Source organism: Homo sapiens, chromosome 16 (genome assembly GCF_000001405.40).
Source record: "Homo sapiens chromosome 16, GRCh38.p14 Primary Assembly".
Lineage (NCBI taxonomy): Eukaryota > Metazoa > Chordata > Mammalia > Primates > Hominidae > Homo > Homo sapiens.
The window spans coordinates 363,050-370,560 of record NC_000016.10 but is presented as its reverse complement, the minus strand read 5'-3'; the positions used below and the strand labels follow the sequence as shown (position 1 = coordinate 370,560).

General features: G+C 62.3%; 1 protein-coding gene across 3 annotated transcripts, besides 3 other annotated features; it reads left to right on the top strand.

The window, feature by feature from the left end:
* MRPL28 (mitochondrial ribosomal protein L28) lies at positions 23-3,592 on the top strand. 3 transcript variants are annotated; one of them, NM_006428.5, is made up of 6 exons: positions 23-62; positions 336-630; positions 1,341-1,493; positions 1,926-2,060; positions 2,147-2,233; positions 2,779-3,592. In NM_006428.5, the coding sequence occupies exons 2-6, from the start codon at positions 343-345 to the stop codon at positions 2,884-2,886; spliced, it is 771 nt and encodes a 256-aa protein (NP_006419.2). In that variant the 5' UTR covers positions 23-62; positions 336-342; the 3' UTR covers positions 2,887-3,592. The 3 variants fall into 3 exon arrangements, with proteins under 3 accessions (NP_006419.2, XP_011520653.1, XP_005255098.1); XM_011522351.3 differs by having other exon boundaries at positions 23-76; XM_005255041.3 differs by having other exon boundaries at positions 23-117.
* Positions 5,841-6,347: an enhancer, noted in NCBI's record as "H3K4me1 hESC enhancer chr16:414214-414720 (GRCh37/hg19 assembly coordinates)". NCBI's record gives its function as "activates a minimal SCP1, AML or CMV promoter by ChIP-STARR-seq in naive H9 embryonic stem cells {active_cell/tissue: H9 hESC(naive)}" and the evidence as "EXISTENCE:reporter gene assay evidence [ECO:0000049][PMID:30033119]".
* Positions 6,348-6,854: an enhancer, noted in NCBI's record as "H3K4me1 hESC enhancer chr16:413707-414213 (GRCh37/hg19 assembly coordinates)". NCBI's record gives its function as "activates a minimal SCP1, AML or CMV promoter by ChIP-STARR-seq in primed H9 embryonic stem cells {active_cell/tissue: H9 hESC(primed)}" and the evidence as "EXISTENCE:reporter gene assay evidence [ECO:0000049][PMID:30033119]".
* Positions 6,855-7,362: an enhancer, noted in NCBI's record as "H3K4me1 hESC enhancer chr16:413199-413706 (GRCh37/hg19 assembly coordinates)". NCBI's record gives its function as "activates a minimal SCP1, AML or CMV promoter by ChIP-STARR-seq in primed H9 embryonic stem cells {active_cell/tissue: H9 hESC(primed)}" and the evidence as "EXISTENCE:reporter gene assay evidence [ECO:0000049][PMID:30033119]".

The following is a 7,511-nucleotide window of genomic DNA, read 5'->3' as shown; positions in this document are numbered from 1 at the left end:
TGGGAGGAGGGCCAGGCGCGGCAGATCGGCTTCCGGTTCCGGTGGGCTCTGAACCCTGAAAGGTGGGCGCGGGCAGGTGGGGTGTGGGGGGGCGCCGGGGCAGAAGGGGAGGGGCAGGTGGGTGCGGGACAGGGGCCGGAGTGAGAACCGGGGGCCGGGGTAGGGGGTAGCGGGTGAGAGCCGGGGGCCGGGGTAGCGGGTGAGAGCCGGGGGCCGGGGTAGCGGGTGAGAGCCGGGGGCCGGGGTAGCGGGTGAGAGTCGGGGGCCGGGGTAGGGGGTGAGTGCCGGGGGCCTGGCCAGGCTGCGACTGACTGCGAGCCCCCACCTCCCGCCAGGCTCGCGATGCCTCTACACAAGTATCCCGTGTGGCTCTGGAAGCGGCTGCAGCTGCGGGAGGGCATCTGTTCCCGCCTGCCCGGCCACTACCTGCGCTCCCTGGAGGAGGAGCGGACGCCCACTCCCGTGCACTATAGGCCTCATGGGGCCAAGTTCAAGATCAACCCCAAGAACGGGCAGCGGGAGCGTGTGGAGGACGTGCCCATTCCCATCTACTTTCCCCCCGAATCCCAGCGGGGGTTGTGGGGCGGCGAGGGCTGGATCCTGGGCCAAATATATGCCAACAACGACAAGGTGGGTCCGCAGGCGGCCTTCAGGGGCTCCTCTCAGGGCTTGGCTGTGCCGGCTCTGTGCCGGACGCCCGGGGTACCTGGAGAGACCTGGGTGGGCCCTGGGGATTACAGCCTGGAGGCGACACATCTCCGGCAAAGGAGCACGCTGAGTGAAGAACCGCAGTTCTGGCAAACAGGACTGATAAAGTAGGGGTGAGGTGGGGTGACTCAGGCCGGGGGAGCAACCAGAGGCCGTGGGGAGTCGGGGTAAAGTTAGGATGGGGAGGAGGCCTGTGTGATGAGCAGAGCAGGTGGGAGAGGCGAGCAGAGCAGGTGGGGGAGGCGAGCAGAGCTTCGAGGCTGCTTGTGGTGGACTTCCTGGCGGGACTGCTGAAGCCTGTGGGGAGACTTGTGTCACCTCCAGGTTGGAATGTGACAACCTGTAAACTGTGGGGTCGCACATGTTTCTGAAACACATGCAGCAACCATGTGACCAGGGCGGGAACGCCCAGCTTGTTGGGGAGCAGCTGACTTCTGGGTACACAGTCAGGACCCGGGTCGGGCTGGGGCGGCACTGGGCTGGGGGCCGGCCCAGTTAGCTCTAGGTCCCCAGTCTGACAGCAGTGGTTCTGTGATGGAGCCTCCGGGGGGGAGGTGAGGGCAGTTGCCTGGGCCCCCCTTGGTATGTAAGAGAAAGCAGCAGTACTCATGGAGGCTCTGTTGCACCCTCAGCTCTCCAAGAGGCTGAAGAAAGTGTGGAAGCCACAGCTGTTTGAGCGAGAGTTCTACAGTGAGATCCTGGACAAGAAGTTCACAGTGACTGTGACCATGCGGACCCTGGACCTCATCGATGAGGCTTATGGGCTCGACTTTTACATCCTCAAGGCAAGCGGGGTGGGGCGAGTCAGTGCACACAGGGTCTGGGATGGGCCAGTCAGACTCACGGGAGCCCCAGGTCAGCATCACACCGGGGCACGCTGACATCTGCACAGGAGGGTCACTGGGAAAGCGTGAGTGGGGCCATGCCCCTTTCTGGCCAGCACCAGTGGGGTTTCCTGCCTTCAGGAGAGGCTGTCGCTCTGTGGGTGGCTGACTTGCCCGTGGGGCCTGAGCGAGCACAGCCGCCCCTTTCCCTGCACTTGGACTTGCTTCTGTGCTGATCCCACCCCCCAGGCTGGGGTGCTGAGGCGGCCCCACCCGGGCCTTCTCTGTCCTGTCCTGGGACCACCAGCGGCTAGAGAGGAGCCAGGTGGGTTGGCTGGAAGGGTAGGTGGGGCCCTGCCACCAGCACCTGGCCCCATGTGAGCCTTCTGCCAGACCCCGAAGGAGGACCTGTGCTCCAAGTTTGGGATGGACCTGAAGCGAGGGATGCTGCTGCGGCTTGCCCGGCAGGACCCCCAGCTGCACCCCGAGGACCCCGAGCGGCGGGCAGCCATCTACGACAAGTACAAGGTGAGGGTTTCCGTCCCGCTCCCTACACCTGGGGACTCGTGGCCCGGCCCTGGGCCTCACTGCCCTTTCCATCTCTGCCTGCCTAGGAATTTGCCATCCCAGAGGAGGAGGCAGAGTGGGTGGGCCTCACGCTGGAGGAGGCCATTGAGAAGCAGAGACTTTTGGAGGAGAAGGTGAGTGTGTGAGCACCAGCCGATGCTGCCTGCCCAGAGCCTGGTGTTCAGGGTCTGGGAGTGTGCTGCCTTGGAGAGAGCCTGCACAAGGGGCTGGTGCACTGGGTGGGCTTGGGGAAGAGCTGCTGCTCTGCATTGCCCACCCAGAGGAGCATGGCCCGCTCCCTCCCCTCCAAGTCCCCACCCTGTTCTGTCCCAGGACCCTCAGTAGGAGGAGTGGGTTCCTGCACTGAGGGTTTGCTCGGCCACCAGCATCCCAGGGTCTGGAGCCTGAGGTAGCTGTCAGGACAGGGAGCCCCTGATGGCATGGCAGCTGGCTGCCCCTATTCCCTCTGTTTATCCATGACCACAGGGATGGGACAGGGGTATGTGTGTGCCTCCGGCATCCCCAAGGGAGGGGGTTCCTCATCTCACCGACAGGACTCTGCCCTCCAGGGCCTCTCATGCCCCGGTTCCTCTGGGCGGCAGCTGCTGATCCCATCCCCGTCGGAACTCCAGCTGCCCTGGGCTTCCCTGGCCTCACCATGAGCCCCTCTCTCCTTCAGGACCCTGTACCCCTGTTCAAGATCTATGTGGCGGAGCTGATCCAGCAGCTGCAGCAGCAGGCACTGTCAGAGCCGGCGGTGGTGCAGAAGAGAGCCAGTGGCCAGTGACCACACAGCTCCTCCATGCCTGACCAACAGGCCCAGCTTTCCCTGCCAGGCCCTTTGCACTGAGGACACAGATCCCGGGGAGCTGTGAGGGCCACCGGTGGGCAGTGGGTGGATCCTGGTTTCGTGTGCTGCCCATGCACCTTCCAGCCCGGGGCCAGCTTGGCAGGGATCCCCAGGAGGCCTGGGCCGCCCAGAGGCTCCTCTCAGGCTGGGCCCCGACGTTTGCGGCAGTGTTCCTTGTGCCCGTGGGGCCGGGAGCGAGTAAAGTCTGGGCCAGGCTGTGTGTGTGTATCTTTGCTTTGAGGACTGGTGTTCTCTTTGGGGATCCTGATCCTGTCACCCCTGCCCTTGCTGCCCCTGAGACCTCGGATGAGCCGTGGGCATTGACTCTGGCTGTGCCCGTCCCCCGGTGAGCTGCAGAGAGCGAGGTTCAATTCTGTGTTTTGTGTTTTTTTTTCTTTTCTTTTTTTGAGACGGAGTCTTGCTCAGTCACCCAGGCTGGAGTGCAGTGGCACGATCTGGACTCACTACAACCTCCACCTCCAGAGTTCAAGTGATTGTCCTGTCTCAGCCTCCTGAGTAGCTGGGATTACAGGCACCCCGCTATCATGTATGGCTAATTGTATTTTAGTAGAGAAGGGGTTTCACCATGTTGGCCAGGCTGGGCTTGAACTCCTGACCTCAGGTGACCCACCTGCCTCAACCTGCCAAAGTGTTGGGATTACAGGCGTGAGCCACCTCCCCTGGCCGTATTCTGTGTCTTTCTTTCCTCTGGTAGAGGGTCTGGTGTAGCTGGGGGCATCCAGGGGTGCAGCCGGATGATGCCCATTCCCTCTCCATTGCACATTCCTGCCCTTCTCGAACATTCTTCAGAGCAGGGCAAGGGAGGCTGTGGTCTGGCTCTGCAGGTACTGGAAGGAACCAGGAGGGGCAGGCCCTCAGAGGGCCGTGCTGGTGCAGCTGCCTGAGTCAGGAGCCTCTCCCTGGTCAGCACTGTTGTGGCGAGTGGTAGAGGAGGTGGGGGCGACACGAACTTGGGGACCTGCGACCTTGGTGTCCCCTCCTGCTACCTCCACCTGACCTGCAGGGTGGAGGTTTGGCCAGCGGGAAGCCGGGCTGTGCACCCTAAGGCATTTCCCGCCCTGAGGTTTTGGGGGTACCTGACCCTCTCCCCCAACCCTTACCTGGAAATCCTGATCCTCCGGACCCATTCGGTTTTCCCAGGGAGCACAGAGGGAGGGCTCCCCCAGCTGCATGTGCAGAATGACAAGGGGGGGTTTATGTCCCCTGAGCCTAAGCCAGCCCCAGCTGGTGGCAGGATGGGGTGAACTGGAGGCAGCTGCCTGACGTGGGCCTGCTGGCTGATTGAGGGGCCCCTGGCTCCCAAGGGGGCTGTGGCAGAGTCCAGAGGGAGTCTGCAGTTGGCCCTGCTGGACTGCAGGGGAGCACGTGGCTCCCGGGGCCGCAAGGGGTCCCTGGGGTCAGGACCTGCCTGGTTCAGAGCCCTGGGAGGGCCCCCGAGGTCTCTTTCCACACCGGGCACCTCTGCCGACATGTCCTGCTGCTCCCCACACCAGTGCCTTCATGTGATGCCCCTGCTCTGTGAACGACCTTGAAAAAAATTTTAGGCCAGGCACGGTGGCTCACACCTGTAATCCGAGCACTTTGGGAGGCCGAGGCGGGTGGATCACGAGGTCAGGAGATAGAGACCATCCTGGCCAACACGGTGAAACCCCATCTCTACTAAAAATACAAAAAATTAGCTAGGCATGTTGACACATGCCTGTGATCTCAGCTACACGGGAGGCTGAGGGAGGAGAATCGCTTGAACCTGGAAGGCAGAGCTTGCAGTGAGCTGAGATTGCACCACTGTACTCCAGCTTGGGTGACAGAGCGAGACTCTGTCTCAAAAAGAAAAAAAAAAAGGCCGGGCGCAGTGGCTCACGCCTGTAATCCCAGCATTTTGGGAGGCCGAGGCGGGCGGATCACGAGGTCAGGAAATCGAGACCTAACACGGTGAAACCCCATCTCTACTAAAAATACAAAAAAGTTAGCTGGGCATGGTGGCAGGTGCCTGTAGTCCCAGCTACTCGGGAGGCTGAGGCAGGAGAATGGCATGAACCCGGGAGGTGGAGGTTACAGTGAGTGGAGATCGCACCACTGCACTCTAGCCTGGGCGACAGAGCGAGACACCGTCTCAAAAAAATAAATAAAAATCATACCGGGCACTGTGGCTTACACCTATAATCCCAGCACTTTGGGAGGCTGAGGCAGGCAGATCACCTGAGGTTAGCAGTTCAAGACTAGTCTGGACAACATAGTGAAACCCCCATCTCTACTAAATACAAAAATTTAGCCGGGTGTGGTGGCGCACACCTGTAATCCCAGCTACTTGGGAGGCTGAAGCAGGCGAATTGCTTGAACCCGGGAGGTGGAGGTTGCAGTGAGCCACGATTGCACCATTGCACTCCACCTGGGCAACAAGAGCAAAACTCTGTCTCAAAAAAAAAACACTTTATGAAAAACAGACAGTGCTCAGTCAGCTCTGTGGGGCCATGAGGCTCAGCCCAGCTGCCCACAGCATGAGTGCTGTTCCGTGCCCCAGCTCTAGCCAGAGTTGGGATGTTGTGGCCACGCCCTGCCCTGCACAGTTCCCGTGTTCAGCTGTGAACTTAAGCCAAGCCCCCTCCAGCCCCTCGGCCTGCCCCTGACTCCCTGATGGTGTGTGTGTCCAGCACCTCCCAACTCAGGCCTCGGTGGCTGCCCCTCACTCACCACCTGCTCTTTCCCACCCCAACCAAGCCCCACGGTAAGCAGGGCTCCTGCCAAGGCCTGTAGGGCTTCCTGGGTCAGACTCTGGGGGCCCCAAGAAGTTAGGGGCCAGGCTTGGCAATGGGCTGGTAGGCGCTGGCCTCGGTCCCCCTGTCGGCCATGGTGGCACGTGCTTATCAGTGTGTCCTGACTTGTGTTGACTCAGGGTTGTGGGTTTGGGACCAGGCTACCAGCTGGCCAGTGGGAGAAGCTGCATTTGGCCTCAGCAGGTTACCTCCTCTGCCAGTCACCTCGATGGAACCCATGGCTGTTTAGTCCTCCCGCAGGGGAGGCCAGGCCAGACTGAGGTGGGGTCTGGGTGTGGCCAGGGCCCTGACAACTTTCTGGTCAGAGGCCACAAAAGTCCTTGACTGAGAAAAAGGTAAGAGGCCTTCCGTAAATGCCGGACCCATCCCTCAAGACCAAACCGTGACTCAGGTCTGGGACAGACCCAGCAGCTGGATCCAGCATGCTATTCTGCCTTCTGGGTTGTGGGGAGGGGTCCCAGGGACTGTACCGGCTCCAACATGTGTGTGGGGAACTGAGAACTGAGCTGGGAGCCCGGGCAGCCAACCTGGGAATGGCTGCTGGCCACCCCTCCCCGCCCTCCCCGCCCTCCCCACGCCCACCCCGCCCTCCCCGCGCCCACCCCACCCCTTCCCTGCCCTCCCTATGCCCACCCCACCCCTTCCAGAGCCAGGCCGGGCTGGGGCCACCAGACCCTCCTTCTGCCATCCTCACCAATCACACCTGTCAGGCTCCTTCCTGAAGTGTTGGACTCCGTCTCTGAGAACGGCCAGTTCTCCCTCACTGAGGCGTGCAGACCCTCAGGCACCTGGAGTGGGAGAGGGATCTGTGCAGAGCAAGATCAACCCCACAGGAGGCAGAGCTGCCCTGGGCCGGCCTGCACCAGCCCCAGCCTCTCGGAGCCCTCAGGGGCCAGGAGTTCCCCACGCGTGTCCCAGGCTTGGCAGAGGCCATGTGTTTCCATGACAACAGTCAGCCGCGGTGTCGGGCAGAGAATGGGCTGTGGACCTGAGGGTGGACTCCGGGGTGGACCCTCACGGCTATGGGCAGGGATCCCTTGGGGGTAGAAAACTGGAGGACTGGAAGGGGTGTCAGTGACCCCATCACTCCACATAGAGACGGGGAAGCCAAGGCCAGGAAGGGTAGGGTGGAGTGGATGTGAGGCTGGCCTGAGGCACCCAGTCACAAGTCCATGTCTGACCCCTGACCCCAAGGGTCTCGCCTGCTTCCTGAGTCCTGCTCAGGTGCACAGAGCAGCAGGATAGTGGAGGGAAGGGCATGGAGAGCGGGCGGGCCCTCTGGGTCGCTTGGCAACTCTGCTCCTGTCCTGTGCCCCCGTCAGGGTGCTGGGAGCCCAAGGGAGCTGCCGGGAGACCACTGTGTGTCCCGCGGGCCTGCTTAGGGCTCCGCCTCCACCTTCAGTCCTTGGCCGCCCTCGCCCTCTCACCAGTGCCCGTCTGTAACTCCAGCCCTCTGCTGGCCCCAGGCACGGGCTGGATTGTGTGGGGCTCCCAGGCTCCCTTGAGTCCCTGTCCCTCTGACACCCACCAGCCACCCAAGCTGGAACCCTGGCCACATGGCCACACCCAGCAGCCTGGGCTCCCGTGCGGTCCTGGCTCCCTCTGCCGCAGCGCCCCGCAGCCCTCCCTAGGCGGGCTCCAGCCTTGGACCATCCTCCCTAACCACTGCCTGCTGTCCTGGGATGGTGTCCCTACCCACATCCTGTCCCCAGACAAGCTGGTAGCTCTGAGCATGGCATGGGAAGGGCTTCAAGGCCGGGTTCCATC

Coding starts and splice junctions, on each gene's coding strand:
- MRPL28 (NM_006428.5), top strand. CDS start 343: ATGCCTCTACACAAGTATCCCGTGTGGCTCTGGAAGCGGCTGCAGCTG. Junction 631..1,340: donor TATATGCCAACAACGACAAG/GTGGGTCCGCAG, acceptor TTGCACCCTCAG/CTCTCCAAGAGGCTGAAGAA. Junction 2,061..2,146: donor CCATCTACGACAAGTACAAG/GTGAGGGTTTCC, acceptor CTGCCTGCCTAG/GAATTTGCCATCCCAGAGGA.